Source organism: Homo sapiens, chromosome 2, assembly GCF_000001405.40.
Source record: "Homo sapiens chromosome 2, GRCh38.p14 Primary Assembly".
NCBI classification, from domain to species: domain Eukaryota; kingdom Metazoa; phylum Chordata; class Mammalia; order Primates; family Hominidae; genus Homo; species Homo sapiens.
In genome coordinates, this window is record NC_000002.12 from 94,801,720 (window position 1) to 94,819,647 (window position 17,928).

At 34.8% G+C, this 17,928-nt stretch overlaps 1 pseudogene across 1 annotated transcript in view; it reads right to left on the bottom strand.

Annotated features, from left to right (window-relative positions):
- ANKRD20A8P (ankyrin repeat domain 20 family member A8, pseudogene) overlaps positions 1-17,928 on the bottom strand; it is a 96,148-nt pseudogene that overhangs the window by 40,792 nt on the left and 37,428 nt on the right. The window contains exons 11-16 of the transcript NR_003366.2: positions 17,042-17,205; positions 15,454-15,634; positions 13,363-14,286; positions 11,672-11,821; positions 6,752-6,864; positions 4,622-4,751 (exon numbers count right to left, since the gene is read on the bottom strand). The product of NR_003366.2 is annotated as an ankyrin repeat domain 20 family member A8, pseudogene (transcript). The remainder of the gene's footprint in view (positions 1-4,621; positions 4,752-6,751; positions 6,865-11,671; positions 11,822-13,362; positions 14,287-15,453; positions 15,635-17,041; positions 17,206-17,928) is intronic.

Consider the following 17,928-nt stretch of genomic DNA (forward strand, 5'->3'; position numbering starts at 1 on the left):
TGAACTCAGCCCCCAGATTGTGAGAGAGATCAGGCCACAGAGACAGCCTGGGAGTATCAGTGTCAATGTTCACGCTGCCTGCTCCAACCAAGGTTCCAGCCAATGGCCAGCATCAACCATCAAACATATGGGTGAGCAAAGCTTCAGATGATTCCATTTCCCCAGCTGATCAGCTGTTCCTAGGGAAGCTGAGGGGAGCAGAGATGACCTGTCCTGGCTAAGCTTTTTTCAAACCACAGGTTCATGAACAAAATAAATGTTTTTCTTTTAAGCCACAAAACCCTGGATAATTGTTAGAAAAATAAGTTTTAAAAAGAGACAACAGGAAACATAACTTACGTAGAGAAAAGAGTCTCCTTTAAAGTAGGATCTAAAAAATGTTGAGATTAATTTATTGATGGCAAACATTATTGAGAAGCAGTAGATAACCAGGAGAGAGACATAAGCTGCTGAGGAGGAACATTTCCTAAAACCCCCTTCAATTATGAACTCTAATAACAAGGCAAGGGTGTCTCCTTACAATTTCCCCTTAAGTTAGGAAATAAGACTGCAAAGCAAAAAGATGTATGATTTGAAAAACAACTAGAAATACTTGGTTAGATAACCAAAATCAGACATGTACCTGATTTCAGTTAATGGAAATTCTAAAAGAATAAACTTTGAGTATTTATTAATCAATCTAGTATTCAATTTTCATTTTCCTTTTCTCAATGAGGAAATAAGGAGAACATTATGGAATGATTTTTAGTCTTCACAGAAGTAAAATAAACACAGTATGCTTTGAGTGTTAAGACATCAAATGCAATTTCTCCTTTATCTTACTTCAAGCTTGTTTGTATGGAGAAGTTAAGACCGTCCCATCTCTGTTATGCCACAATGCTTCTCTACAGCACACAACTTGGCTCTGAAATTTCAAAAGTCAAAATACTAATCTACTATTTGTCTCTGATAAATTGCCTGAACATTACCTGATTTTGAAGTGCTGCACTCTTAAGACTTTTTCTTGGAATGAGTTAAACTTTATATTCCAAGAATCCTCTACTGAGCTAGAAAGCAGAGCTGTGCATCTCTGTTTCAGTAAAAGGAGGTCAATACAGGGAACTGTGGTTTCTGAGAATGCAAGATCTGCATCAAGTAAAGGATTAGATGCAGTGCTACCCAAGAGAACCAGCTACCAGGTGGAAAGAGGATCTGCAAACTACAAGATGATGACTTCACTTGATTTCCACTGAGGAAAGCTGGCAGCTCAGACTTCTCCTTCCTGGATGGTAAACATCTATGGAAGATTCTATGAATTATAATGAGTTAGCAAAACATAATACACTAAATATTAGACTACATCAGCAGATCCTGTGACCAAAACTTACTGAAAATATAACTATAGAGGGAGACGATGGAATAGAGACTGAAGGTTTGAATAGAGAAAAAAAGAAAGTGTGTCTTGTAAGCTTGACTTGCCATCATGTCTTAAGAGTAAGGTATAAGCTGGCCAGAGACTCCTTTGTGACACAAAAGGTGAAGTTAAAGATATTCCACTAAATTTAATTTTTATTATGATATAAGACAACTGGTAATATGCAACATGATTGAAAAAAACTTCTCATTAAATTCAATTTGGCCTTGGCATAAGAATAGATATAAACAAACTAAGAATTGATAATCTACAAATAAACCTGCACATTTACAGTCAATTGATTTTATACAAGGTTAACAAAAGAACAGAATGGGAAAAGAATAGTCTTTTCAACAAATGGTGCTGGGACAACTGGATATCCACATGCAAAAAATAAATAAAGTTGGACCAAATATCTTATTTAAAAATTACCTCAAAATAAAACAGTGAACTGTAACAGCTAAACCTATAAAACCCTCAGAAGAAAACCCTGGCATAAATCTTTGTGACTGCATTTGGCAGTATTTTCTTAGCTATAACTCCAAAGGAAAAATGGATTCAATGGACTTCAAAATTGAAAACTGCTGTGCCTGAGAAGACAGTATCAAGAAGTGAAAAGGTAAGACACTGACTAGAAGAAAGTATTTGAAAAGCATGTATCTGATAAGGGACTTACATATGTAGGATACATAAAGAACCTTTGCAATTCATAAATAACAAGATAACCCAATTTAAAAAATGGGCAAAGATTTTGAATAGATATATTTGCAAAGAAGATTTAAAGATGGGTAATAAGCACATTAACAGATGCTTAATGTAATTAGTCATTAGGAAAAAGTAAATCAAAACCACATGTGTTATCACTTCACACCACAGGATGAAACATTTTTTCAATAAAAAAGAGAAAATAAGTGTTAGGAAAAATGTAAAGAAATTAAAACCCTTATCCAATGCTGCTGGGAATGTAAAGTGATGCAGCCACTTTGGAAAACAAACTGGCAGCTCCTCAAAAGGTTAAGCATGAAGTTACCATACGACCCAGAAATTCCAGTCATGAGTATACTCCAGAAAATCAAAAACATATGCAAGCACAAAAACTCATATATAAATGTTTACAGCAGCATTATTAATAAGAGTCAAAAAGTGGAAAGAACCAAAATGTCCATCACCTTTGGGTGGGAAAGAACCCAAAGGTCCATCACCTGGTGAATGGATACATAAAATGTTTGATGTATCCATACAATGGAATATCACTCAGCAATAAGAAGAAACTGAGTACTGATACTGTATTAGGAGGAGACAGCAAAATGCCTAGGCAGATATGGAAGGGTCCCCAGAGAATCCCCAACCAGCCCCACAAGTGTTTACACCAGATGTTATGTGCAGATAAGGGAACCTGGACTTGTCTTGCCTGGACATGCCAGCAGCAGACCCGAGGCCCACAAGCACTGGGGGGATGGGGTGGAGTCACCAGGAATTCACGCCTTATGCAGAGGAGGAACCTGGCCGCTTCAGCTCCTGTGCTCCTGCTATTCAATTGTGAGGTGGAAACCTGTTTGCAGGACCCCCCTCTTTGCTGAGAGCTTTCCTTTCACTTAATAAATTCTGTCCTCCTCACCCTTCAATGTGTCTGTGTGATTAATTTTTCCTGGTCATAAGAGAAGAACCCAGATTGAGCTGAACTAAGGAGCAAAAACCCTGCATCAATACCTGCTACAGCACAGATGCAGCATGGAAAATTATGCTAAGTGAAATAAGCCAGTCACAGTAGACCACTTGCTTTTCATTTCAGAGGCTTATAGGCAAATCTATACAAAGAAGGTGGGTGGTTACCTAGGGCTGAGGGAGGAAGGGAAAACTAGTGAAGATAGCTAAATGATGTGGGGTTTGTTTTTAGGGTGATGAAAATGTTCTACAATTGATTGTAATGATGACTGCATAACTCTCTGAAAATACTAAAGTTAGTATATTGTATATTTTAAATGAGTGAATTGCATGGTGTGTTCATTATTTCTCAATGAACCTGTTACCCCCCACCCCAAATCAATTTGGTACTAGTGATTTTGGTACTAGTGATCTGGAGACAGGTACTGCTTGGTTTCAGATCACTGGCCAGGGTTCAAGGCCTAAGAGAATCAACAGCATGTCCTTTTCATAGAAAAAGAGATTTATATTTTAAAAGCTATCCTTTTCATTAGTTTCAAGTCTGTAAAATTAAATGAAAAATCTTTCACTGCTTAAAGCACTGACAGATTTATATTGAGGAATAAGACCTTGTTTTCTTTGGCCCCAATTTCTATCTAAACGGTCTGGGAATCACACCCTTCAAACTATCAAATCTCATCAGATGGGTTTTATTAACTCCTATAATGTGGCTTCCTTTCTAACCTGATTCTGGTGCAGCATCACAGAGAGAAGAAGCTGAAGGAAATCAAAATATTTTACCCCCAAATATATTTTTTTGTCATATTTTGAAATGGCTGCTGCAGGGCCAAGAGATTGAAATGGCCCTCATTAACGTAGCCCAATCTCTCCCCTTCTAGGTCTTCCCAGATCTGGGGAAGATTAACTAAGAGCCTGAGGCATTGAAAGTCTGAAAATATATATTTGCCCTCTATTTTCTCAACATATTTTGGCAGAATTTGGGTTTTCCATTATCAATATTTTCCAAAATTACATGATTTTTAATACCAAAACTGATTTAAAATTACCATACGTTGGAATATAAATTATTCTATTATAAAGATACATGCATTTGTATGTTCATTGCAGCACTATTCACAACAGTAAAGCCATGGAATCAACCCAGATGTCCATCAGTGATAGACGGGATAAAGAAAATGTGGTACACATACACCATGGAATACTATGGAGCCATAAAAATGAATGAGATCATGCTTTTTGCAGGGATATGGATGAGCTCAAAGCTGATATCTTCAGCAAACTAATGCAGGAAGAAAAAACCAAACACTGCATCTTCTCACTTATAAGTGGGAGCTGAATGATGAGAACACATGGACTCGGGGAGGGGAACAACAAACACTGGGGCCTGTTAGGGTCAGGAGGGAGAGCATCAAGATCAATAGCTAATGCCTGCAGGGCTTAATATCTAGGTGATGGATTGATAGGTGCAGTAAACCAACGTGACACACGTTTACCTATATAACAAACCTGCATGTCTCACACATGTAATCTAGACCTTAAGATAAAATAATTTTTTTAAATTACCTTCTGTTTTAGCTTCTTAATCAGAATATCCATTTTCAGTTGATCTGTTTTTAAGTCTCCATGGCAATCAAAGTCTGCATTTCCAAATACATTTAACATATTTATTGTCATTTCCAGGAGTTTCTTATATCTGCAGAAATGTACAGAATTAGTAAGTCAACTATTTTTGAGTAAATATTTAATAATTGTTTAAACATCTGTTATGGCATATCAAAGAAACAAATCTATAAACTATGTTCCTTTCAGTTTCAACTGAACATAGTTTGAAAGCATTCTATATGAAATTATAATCTTAAATAATATGAAGAACAATTTTATGGCATATATGGCAGGTAAAGTGATATTATAGCCATACAGTGTTTTTGTTTTGTTTTTTGTTTTGTTTTGAGATGGAATTTCACTCTTGTTGCCCAGGCCAAAGTGCAATGGTGTGATCTCAGCTCACTGCAACCTCTGCCTCCTGGACTCAAGTGATTCACCTGTCTCAGCCTCCCAAGTGGCTGGGATTACAGGTGTGTACCACCACGCCTGGCTCATTTTGTATTTTTAGTAGAGACGGGGTTTCACTGGTCAGACTGGTCTTGAACTCTTGACCTCAAATGATCCACCCACACTGGCCAACCAAAGTGCTGGGATTACAGGTGTGAGCCACCACACCTGGCCTAACCATACACTTTTTGTAAATAAACTACTCATATCCATGTTGGTATGCCAAGTAAAATAACCTATTACTAAATATAAGCCATAACCCAGAGATGAGTAACCAAGATAAAAAAGTAAAACACATACGTTTAAAAAGACACAAAAGTACATTTTGATACCCATTGACCACAGTCTATCAGAAGAAAAAAAAGTACACACAAAAAGCATCAAGGAGATCATTCAATGTAGAAAAAGAGAAGAAAACATCTTTAATATCTGAGTTGAGGAGAAAAAGGATACAGGCAGTTTTAGAAAAAAGGAAAGGGGCAGAGAGATGTGTGACGATTTAAAGACTTTGAAGAAGAGATCTAGACATCTTTGCTGACATAATGTCAACAAAATGAAAGAGATACAAAACCATGTAGAGAAAGGCAATGACAGAAAAATGTTGATTCGAATCAGAAAACCAAATTAAGTGCTCAGTAAATAAAATAGGAAAGTAGCTGTGTTCAGGGCTTCAAAGACAGATTCCATTGTTTTAAAAAAAATCTGTGATCAAAACATGAATGTTCATTTTACTTTTTCTTTAAGTTATACATATATTTTTATATATATGAAATTTATTTATGTAAAACAAGTTTAATAACATGTATACTTCATGTATACAACAGACGTACTCATGTACAATGAGTAAATTTCCATATGTTTTATATCTAAAAGAAAAAGAAGCAGAAACAAAATATAAGCTACATATCAAGATAAATTTGATGTTAACGTATGACACAAACAGGTCTTCTTTAAACAATTTGAGTGCAGCAGACGATACTACAAAAGGAAGAAAAAATGACCACAGACAGCAAAAAATATCTTCAGAAATAAAAATTCAAACTAGATAATGAAGAGTGCACCGGACACTATATGTCCAAGGCATGGTCATTGTTTTCAAAATCATTAAAGAATAAGTGGCCGGGCATGGTGGCTCATGTCACTTTGGGAGGCCGAGGCGGGCAGATCACGAGGTCAGGAATTCAAGACCAGCCTGACCAACTTGGCAAAACCCCGTCTCTACTAAAAATACAAAAATTAGCCGGGTGTGGTGGCACATGCCTGTAATGCCAGCTACTCAGGAGGCTGAGGCAGGAAAATTGCTTGGAGGCATAGGTTGCAGTGAGCCAAGACCACGCCATTGTACTCCAGCCTGGGAAACAAAGCCAGACTTTTTCTCAAAAAAAAAAAAAAAAAAAAAAAAAGAATATTTTGGCATTCAAAAAAAATTTCACCTTGCCCCAGCAGCTCAGCTGACTCCCGCCCCATGACACACATGTCTAAAAAGTTGTGCTGTGAGTTTCTGAAATACATTTTAAAATAGAATTCATTTAATTATGAAAATGCAAACATAAAATGAATTTGTATCTGTTTTAGTCAAGTAAAATTAGCGTTAAATCAATTAATAAATGGTTAACATGTTCTACAATATGAAAACCATACCCAGTTGCCTCTTCTTCTAATTCATCATTTTTCTTTCTTATTCGATTCACATTATACTTCAGTGATGATATTAACTCAAAAAGTTTTCTTAATTCTTCATTTTCTTTTTTAGGCTTAAAAAAAGTGTTTAAAATTATTTTTGTAAAATCTGTAGACCCTCTTTTATCTCAAACATATTATTTCTCATAAGTGGATGAGTAATATGTATTTAGGCAGGTGTATAAAGTGCATTTTATAAACCTGATGCCAATAAGGTCAGATTTCAATAATAGTCACTTTTCTTAAAACTGCTAAAAATGATTCAAATTTTCATCATTATCTTTTCTGAAATTTAAACTGCCAACAATGTTCGTTACAAATGAGGGTTTTTACACAAAAAATACTAAGTGTTAGTTAAAAAAAAAAAAGAGTAGTTATATTTACATTTTAGTTTTTAAAGATGCTCTAGAAATATTGTTTTTAATAGTTTAAGATATTCCAAGTTTTCTTAAATTATATCTTACTAAGACAAATTTTAGAAAACTCTTATCTAGTTCCCATTACATTTTTCATCCTCATCTGTCTTCAGGCTGAGCTAAACACTGTCATTCTAAGTATTCACCCATAGGTTTCAGTTTTTCCCTTTCTCTTAACCATTTCTCTTTAAATAAAGTTTATTTTTTCTATAATAAACAAAAACAACTTTTGTCTACTTTTTGTGGCTTTTCTATTATCCTGTTTCTCCCCTTCCATTGGACTCTATGACACATGGTCTCATTCAGAAATATTTTTTCATCAATTATTGTGTTTTTTATACTGAAATCTGATTTTTAATAATTCCAATAAAAAAGTCCAAGGGTCATGAAGGACTTTATCCTACTTTACTCAGCAGAGCAGTGACCAAATGCTCCCTCTGCTCCTCTGACCCCGCCTCCTTTCTAAATGCAGCGACCTCTGTTCTTCAGCCCTATCTCTATTCCTCTGACCCCACTTCATTTCTAAATTTAGCAACCTCTGTTCTTCAGCCCTATCCTTTTCTGGTTTTTTGTTTTGTTTTTGTTTTCTGTTTTGAGATGGAGTCTCCCACTGTCACCCAGGTTGGTGTGCAGTGGCATGATCTCGGCTCACCGCAACCTCCACCTCCTGGATTCAAGCGATTCTCCTGCCTCAGCCTCCCAAGTAGCTAGGATTACAGGCATATGCTACCACGCCCAGCTAATTTTCTGTATTTTTAGTAGAGACGGGGTTTCACTATGTTGGTCAGATTGGTCTTGAACTCCTGACCTCATGATCTGCCTGCCTTGGCCTCCCAAAGTGCTGGGATTACGGGTGTGGCCACCACACCCGGCAGCTATTTCACTTTTTAAATTCTCTCAGGACTCCTAAAATCTCCTAAACTTTTACCTAGATTCCCTAATCTACATTTCTAGCTCTGACCTTTTTCTTGAGGTCTCTTCCTTCTAGAACACATATTATAGACAATATTCTCCACCACATGCTCATACATTGCTACTTGGTGCAGATTACTTTTGTAGATAGTGAATCTTGTCTATTTTATGTTGGTTCTTATTGATGTTACTTTGAGTATACTGTTATTTTCTAATCTCAAAGGGGGACTATCTCACTGTTACGATACTAACCAGTATACTTTGTCCTTTTTTTCATTCTTTCTTCTTTTTTGGACCAGTATACTTTGTCCCTTTCTTTTCTTTTTTTGAGGTGGAGTCACACTGTGTCATCCAGGCTGGAGTGCAGTGGTGCCATCTCAGCTTACTGCAACTTCTACCTCCTGGGTTCAAGTGATGCTCCTGCCTCTGCCTCTCAAGTAGCTGGGACTACAGGTGCACACCACCACGCCTGGCTAATTTTTGTATTTTCAGTAGAGACAGGGTTTCACCATGTTGGCCAGACTGCTTTTGAACTCCTGACCTCAGGTAATCCACCCCCCTCAGCCTCCCAAAGTGTTGGGATTACAGATGTGAGCCATGGAACCCAGCCCTCTTTTTCTTTGATAATGAAAACCTTCCCATGAGAATCAGATTATCAATTGTTTGCCTTTATTTTCTTTTAAAGAATTTCCTTTCCCATAGACATATGGCATGATGAACATCTTGTTCTAAAGTTCCTTTTGGGGGACACTTAACTATGTCATTGGGAGGCTTCAGTAAGTAGAGATCTCCCTTCTTCCCATTCAAGATTCTTCATCTCAAAATGGTGTCTACCAAATGTCTTAATCCAGGTAGTCCTTTGCTTAGAAATTCATGAAATAAGAACCTTCTCGAGAAGTTAGAGGCATTGATTGAGATGGTTTAAAGCTGCCCCTTATTATATGTTTTACTCCCAAGGTAGACATCAAAGTGGCTAATAATTCTATGTCTGATATCTAACTCACTTCTATGGGAATCTATACAACATGTTTTATTTATGAGACAGAGTCTCCCTCTGCTACCTAGGCTGGAGTGCAGTGGCTTGATCACTGCTCACTGCAGCCTCAATATTCCAAGCTCAAACGACCCTCCTACCACAGCCTCCCAATGTAGCTGGGACTACAGGCATGCACCACCATGCCTCAGCTAAGTGTTTAAAAAAATTTTTTTTTTTTTTTTTTTTTTAGAGACAGGGTCTCACTATATTGCTCTGGCTGCTCTCAAACTCCTGGGCTCAAGCAATCCTCCTGCCTCAGCCTTCCAAAACCAGGTGTTTAACTGGGGACTAACATGAAGCACTTAGAAGACTACATGGAACATAGTGAGCTACATAAAATATTTGCTATTAGCATAATAATTTTATTGTATATCTTAACAAAATTGTGTGTTTTACGCAGGTGGCATGCCAATGGAAGTATTCTCCTATAGCTGCACTTAATCATTCTTACCACTGAGAGTTGCAGCAAATGGGGGACATAATTTATAACTTACTTTTCTCTCTGTATGACTCATTAGGCAATGACTATGTATGTACTACAATGTAAATAGCACCTCCTGGATGGAATAGTATGTAACTGACATGACCAGCAGAGACAGGCTAAAGACACTGAGCTGAAAACCCTGGACTCTATTGCTAAGTCAAGGCTCCTGAATCCGTTCACTCTGAGCAACTGTTGCTGTGGTGCTGCCTTCACAAGCACTCTGCTGAGTACTGAGATTGAGGGGCTGTGCTATCCTTCATCAGACAAGCTGCACCCAGAACTGTTCAGCTGACAGACTGGGAGCAATCCAGAAACACAGTAATGGCTACATAGTGAAAAAAGGCCAATTGAGATTCTTTTTCATAGAGAGAAAAACATAAACACGTGATTGAACGCATCTCCTGTGTTAGACTAATTGGGTTAGATTTGATATTTAATTGCTAAAAATACATTTAGAATATAACCTTACTGTGTCAAGGTCTCAAAGAAGAAATAATTGGTATGGTATAAAGGATTGAATTGTATGCTACAAACCTCTAAGCTAAAATATTTTCAATGTATGCAAGGATAGGTGGCATACATATTATATATTATTCCCCCATTAAGCAAATTTATAATGAGAGAAAATTATCTTCCATAAAAAAAAAAGCCATGTAAAATTAAGGACTAAGTTTTTCAGCACAGACTAGACAACGATTGCTAACACATAAGGTCAATGAGAGAACAGTCAGAGAAAGCTTCATGAAAACAAAAAAATTGTCTGCCAGGTCTGAATGAATGAGGCTAGATGAACAGAAACTGAGAAGGCAGAAAGGATAGCATGAGCAAGACAAGTGCTGAAATCTGCCCAGTTAACTCTGAGGATAAAGTCCAATGGCAGGGAAATAAAAACCTGTGTCCACATAATAACCTGTAAGTGAATGTTCACAGCAGCATTTTTCATAATAGCTAAAAAGTGGAAACTAACCTAAAGGTCCATCAACTGATGAATGAATGGAAAACCAGTATAGCCATGGAATAGAATATCATTTAACTATAAGAAGAAATAAACTATGAATGTGTGCTAAAACATGCATGAATTCTAAAAACATTATGCTAAGTGAAAAAGCCAGTCCCAAAGTATACATATACATATTGTATATGTATACATATTGTATAACTCTATGTATATGAAACATGCAGAACAGGCAAACATATGGAGACAAAAGTAGACAGTGGTTGCCTACAACAGGGGTAGGTGGAGGGACATGGAGGAAGGCTGCAGTCATGCCTAGGAGATGTGGGGTCACTTTTCAGGGTGATGAAAATGCTGTGAACATACTAATAGATACTGAGTTGTACATTTTAAATGGTTGAACTGTCTGATACGTGAATGACATCTCAGTGAATTTTTTAAAATCCAAAGGCAGGATCAAGATAATTTTCTCAACTCTTAATTTTTGATGTACATGCTATATCAAATCTAAATATTTCTACAGTTTTACAGTATATTTTAAATAAAAGATAGATAAAGAAAATGCCTAACTTTTCAAATAGTTTGTAAATTAACCTAAAACATGCACATTTCAAAGAATAGTATAACGGCCTTTCTGTACAAGTTAACCTAGAATCTGTGAAACAAATAGACACAGATTCTGTGTCCATTCACAAAAGTGAAGAAATAAGACAATTTTCTGGAACATTCCATGAAACATTCTCCTCTGATTTAATCTGGCCTGCCTCATCAGAGAAATACAAAAATTACTTAAAAATACTGTTTAACAGGAAAAAAGTCAATTTTCTATGAGGAATGATGTATAATTCTCAACTTTTCCAAGGGTACATATTGTAAGAGAAAAGGTATGCAATGGTTTTTCAAAATGGTAGAATGAAAGTCACAACATAAAAAAATAATTATAAAGATAGTAAAATGGAAATCATTCATTATAATGAAAATAAAAAATCAAGCTTCTGCCAAAATTAGTATCCTAAAACATGTTATATAATTCAACTAGCTACAGAATAACTGTTGACATGTTAAATTCCATACATACTTGACTTTCCACTTGAAATAATTTCTTCTTTGAGGCCTGTGTCTCATCCAAATTAATGTGACAATGTGATATACCTTCCAGTGGAGACTCTAACGTTGTTAATTTTTTTACGCTGTCAGCCACTTCTTGTTGAAGTTGTCTCACAACCACCTGATAAAATATTTTTGTTACTGATTTTATAAATTGCCTTATTATTAAATTATGTTAATAATGTTTAATTCTAACATATCTACTTTGAAAATTATCACCACACATATCAATTCACCTTCTTTTAATCACATGTACACATTTTTATGTATTACTGAATTCAGTGAGGGATGCAGAATATGTTCTCTTCCTGCCAAATTGGTATTCTCTTACTTACACAACAGATTCATTCCAACATTCAATCATCTCAGAAGCTCAACTCAGCCTCAAAGTTCCTAACATATTCAATCACCTGTTCAAATCCTTCCAACAGATTCCTATCTCAGAATAAAAGTAAAATTCCAATGGCCTTTGAGGCCCTAGGTAAAAAGGCCTCTACCTCCCTCTCTGACTTCAAAGCTCCTACAACTCCCTCCTGTAATTACTCCATTCCCACTGTATGTGAAGCCTGCCACCCCTCAGTCTGAAAATGGAGATGTAATGCCTAACTCGTAAATCACAGACAGCTACAAGTATCTTTGTACTGAACAAAATTATATTCCAATGACAGTCATTGAGCCTTGAAATAAAAATTATGACCTAATTATTAATATAAATATTCAAAGTAAACTATAAATACCAGTGGGAAGACTAAACCAAATATAGTTTTGCTAAGTTTTACCACATTTCTCCTAAATTATGATTTTATAACAAGTAGGTGCCTTTAAAACATTACGTGGTCATAAAAATACGTAATTTGACATATTTTCAGATTTGTTAAATTAATATGAATAATAACAAAGCTATACCAACTAAAATACATAAAAAGCTAGTTAAAGCAAGGTACTACAAGACACAGCAATACACTTCAATTCATCTGGGGAATCTAGAATTAAGTGTCGAAGAAAATCACTTAATTAAATTTTAATTTGAAAATACTTCAGGTGTAAACATTTCCATTTATAACTACATTATGGTCTTAACATGTGGCAATATAAAGACATTAAAATTACTATTTCAGCAGTACAGAACTATCTACCTTAAAATATGACTCTGTGCCTAATAAAATTTCATAGGTGACACAATGTCTTTTCTCAAAGTAAATCATCTCTCACCTCTTTTATTTCCTAGAAATGAGGCATGTTTCTAAGCCGATATAGTAAACATTTTTCCTTTTTTATTAAAACAGCTTTGTTGAAATATAATTTACATACTATAGAATGTATCTGTTTTGACTTAAAGTTAAAAGATTTTTAGTACATTTACTGAGTTGTGCAGCCATCTCTACAATCCAACTTTAGAGCATTTCCATCACTGTAAGATTCCTCATGCCCATTAGCAGTCACTACCAGCTTCCAGCCCCAGCCCCTTGCAAACATTAATCTACTTTTTGTCCCTATACATTTATCTTTTCTGGATGCTTCATGTAAATGGAATTATACAGTATGGTAAACACACTTTTTATCTAGATTTTTATATTCAACTAAGTTCAACATGTATCCAGAACCAAATGTTTAAATTTTCTTTCTAGAAGTTTGAAAATATTTATCTTCCTTGATACTTACTACTCCTTCTGCTTTCTCTCTCTCATACTGAAAGAGACTTTCTTTTAAATGATCACATTCATTCATTAGCTTCTTACTTTTCTCTTCTAGTACGAGGTCTTTCTTTCCACTCTCAATAAAGCCTCTTTGGATATTAGTTACTATCTCTTTATGATCCTCTTTCTGATGAACGTCATCTAGTTGCTGTACAAGCCACGCATTTTCACGTTGGAGGTGACATATCCTCTCTTCTACACAGTTCCACTTTCCAGTGGAATTATTCACTTTAGCTTCTGCATTTTGATACATCTCTTTCATTTCCTGTGTTTGCTGCTGTGTTTTTCTTAGGTCATTTTGTACAGTTTCTAAAGCCAATGACTTTTTTCTGAGACTATCTCTTGTCTTACGGAACTTATCTTTTAAGGCATTGAATTTAATTTGTGTTTCAGAAAGTTGTTCAGTAAGAAACTCATTCTCATCTTTTACTTTGGAAATAGCAGAACTCATTTCTACTTGTACAGAAACATCTTGTGTTCTCTCTAAAGCAAGTTTTACGTTTCTTTCTGTTTTCACACTTTCACTGTGTTTACCTATAGCAGCAGCCAGTCTAGACTGATAAGATTCAATGTCAGCTTCCAGTCTTTTCTTGCTTTCTTTTTCCTTCAACAGTTCGGCATTGAGCCTTGTATTCTCAGCCTTGAGATCATTAAGCTCTTGTTGATACCGGAATGCTGTTTCTGTTATCATTTCCTCATTGAGTTTTATATACTTTTCAAGGGCAGCATTTGTTTCTTTAACAATTTTAATGTCCTTAAGATATTTATTTTCTTTTTCCAAGTTGTCATTTTTCATTGTACATATTTCCTGTCTGAGTATGGCAATATCTGCCTTCAAAATGCAATTTTCATCCATCAGACCTTTCGTTTCTTCATGATTATGAAAATCCTAAATAAAACAAAAGAAAGTTTTAGCTAGTACTCAATAAAATAACATATCATGATTACCTCTGAAGTTAAAGAATAACCTGCACATCCGTACACTAAAAAGTTTACCATAAGTGGATATCCACCTGGAGAAAAAGTTGAAGCAAAACTTTGAACCTTATAGAGCATAAATTCCAGAAAGTTCAGAAATGTATTTAGAGTCAATGAATTTATAAAAGTAAACACACACACGCACACCAGAGAATTTTTAAGAATATCGGAATTGGAAAAGCCTTTCCCTGAATTACAACAAACTCAAAAGCATAAATTAAAGCATTAACAAATTTGACTAAATTAAGATATATCAAAAAATTGCATTTACACTTTGATATCTAACCCATACACCACCCTATAGTAAGAACTTTTGTTCACACGTATTTGGACAGATAAAATTTCCCAGAGTTATTACAGTTCTGTTTCACCGATAACATTCTATTTCAGTTTGACTCTTTTAACACTTTTATAGTCAGTTATAAGAATTACATTCACTAAGTCATAAACTAGACATTATACTAGTCACTCCTATATACATTCATTGATGAACTCATCTAGTTACCACAATTTTGAAAAAGAAATGTTAAAAATATAAGCAAGCTACAGGATTTTCCCCAGGACTTCTGACTCTACTTCTAGTTCTCCAACAGATCACAGTTACTTCTGTGGTGTAAATACATCAATACGAAAGAAAACTTTTATTTCAAAACACCAACAGTAAATAAGATAAAATTTATAGAGCTCTTCTTAGAATATCATGAGATTATTTGTGATTGCAATAATTTCTGTTTCCTCTTTATAATATTAGGTGCAGTAATCAATATGAAATAGGGGAAAGTACAAGGAAAAATTTTACCTGGAACAAAATTTTTATCAATAGGTTATCACTAAGTATATATTATGGCATATTATTGTTTTCAAAAGCTCTTTGTAATAAAATAATATCCTATGTGGATGCCAAGATTTATAATAAATATTAATAATTGTACCTGTAAGTGTCATCATTCATTTTTAAAAATGAGATAAAATTTCTGGTTTTAGACCTAAACAATATATATTAAATCAAGTGGACATTATAAGTAACAGTGATAAGATAAAGTTTAAAATATAGAATTTTTACCAAAGATTGATTTACCCGATTTGGAGTATTTCTTGCAGTCTTTGATTTCATCTCTAGTGACTGAACAGTTGGTTCAAGTTGTTTTGCTTCAACTTCTTTCTTATATTGTTTCTCTTTCCTTTCTAATTCTTCTCTATTTTTTTTGTACAGCATATTAACATTTGTTTTTTCTTCATTTTCTTGTTTTAAGGTGCATCTGCAGATAAAGACATTTATCTTAAAATTCATTTTGTTAAAAAATAAAGAGTTCATCCTGTGATATACCTCTGCAGATGTTTATTATCCTAATAAAATTTCTATGTTCTGGATTATTTTTCCTTTGCAGTTCTCAGATATTTAATTTCTCACTTCAACATCTTCAAAAGAATGCATATACTTGAAAAGTAGTAAGGAAAGAATATTCTGCTAAAGTTTTTGTTACTATTCACTCTAATATATATTATAAAAAAGGATACCAGAGATAATTCAGTAAAGTTACAGGTTCAAAATTACCTTTTTAAATCACACAGTCATAATTACTCCCTAATTAGAAAAGATCATTTACAATCAACTAAATTTTTAAAGTTACTATTTATTGACAAGCGTATAAGTTCACTAGAAATAAATTTTCATCTTTATGAAATATTGCGGTGTTTCTCCAAATGATTTACAGAGTGAGATGACACCTTCAGATGTCTCTCACACAAACTATATCTGCAGATGACTGTCATCCAAAACTAGGCTAAAGAGTCTAACATCTGTTTCCCCACACTTTTTATAATTATTTCTTAATACTTTCAATTCACCTTCTTATTACATATATTTTATACATTCATTAACCTATTGTTCATTATGTGTAACATATAATTAATGCCCTTAATAAGTGTGTGTATGTTTACACAAGTTATGTTTTCCTGTGAAATCTAGTCCCAGAAGTGGAGTTGTTGAGTTAAAGGGATGTCAGGCTATTTGAAATTTTGATACACAGCACTAAGTTAACCTTCAGAAATAATTTACTAATTTCCTATACCAACAGTGTATGAGAATGCCTTTTTCCTCACATTTGCCAACACTAGTAATTACTTCTTAAATATCAGCATGACTTTACAAAATATATCTTATTTTATGTTAATTTGCATTTTTCTGATTACCAGGCAGGGCTAAATACCCCTGGTAAAAATATAAAACTTGTTAATCATAAGGAATATTAGTCCAATTTTGAATTAGTTTATAGCACAATGACAATTATCTCCTGTGAAATACTACTATAGGCGGCCAGGCACGGTGGCTCACTCCTGTAAACCCAGCACTTTGAGAGGCCGAGGTGGGCAGAACACCTGAAGTCAGGAGTTCGAGACCAGCTTGGCTAACATGGTGAAATCCTATTTTTACTAAAAATACAAAAAATTAGCCAGGCATGGTGGCACATGCCTGTAATCCCAGCTACTAGGGAGACTGAGTCAGGAGAATCGCTTGAACCCACGAGGCAGAGGTTGCAGTGAGCTGAGATCACACCATTGCACTCCAGCTTGGGCAACAAGAGAGAAACTCCATCTCAAAAAAACAAAAACAAACAAAAAAACCCCAAAACCAAACAAAAAAACACACACTGCTATAGGCTTACTTATCATGCTCTTCCTTCAGCTTCTTGGGAAATTGCTGAGGATACGTTTTCCCAATCTTTCTTTGTTGGGTTAATCTGCCAGCAGCAGCAGAAGATGTACTATCACATATATTTTCTGAAAGTTGTATTTTTTCACTTTTGTTTGTATTATTTCCTTTTTTGACCTTTAATAAAAGTAAGATGAATAATAATTGTTATTATTTTATTCAATAAAAAGAACTTTTTCCCTGATTTTTTTTACTTGATTCAGGTTATCACCACTTTAATGATAAAAGTATTTTGTGCTTACTTTAATTTTATCATTATACATAATTATTATAATTATAAGATACTCTTATTTTATCATCGAAATTTTTGTCAAATCTGCTCATTTCTGTTTGAGTGAATAGAAGAATTTTCTAAAATTTCAAAAAGGGCTCTTCTCCATTTTGTGCTTTTATTCCCATCCACTCTTTGCTATCTGGTATAAATTTTTATGCTATCTGGCTGGCAGAAACAGAGAAATAAAAAGACACAGGCATAACATATGTCTTCTGTCTTTACTACCTGGATTTTACATGAAATAGCCAGATTAAGAGGATGTGACATTGTAGGCCTTCAGGAACAGTAAAGAAGTTTTCCCTTTTCTGTACTGAGCTACTCTTTTCCCCACTGCCTTTTATCTCTCTTTTTTTTTTTTTTTTTTTGAATCCTGTGATATCAAAAAAGTAAAAAAAGTAAAGGTTCTCTTTGAATTATGGGAACCAACGTTTGCCACAACACAAGAAGCAGAGTGAAACTGCTGAGTTTCTAGTGCCGAATTCTGGAAAATGAGATGCTTCCCAGATTTCACATTCAATTACCACAAAAGTTTATAGGTGGAAAACATATGGTACAGTTACCTACTT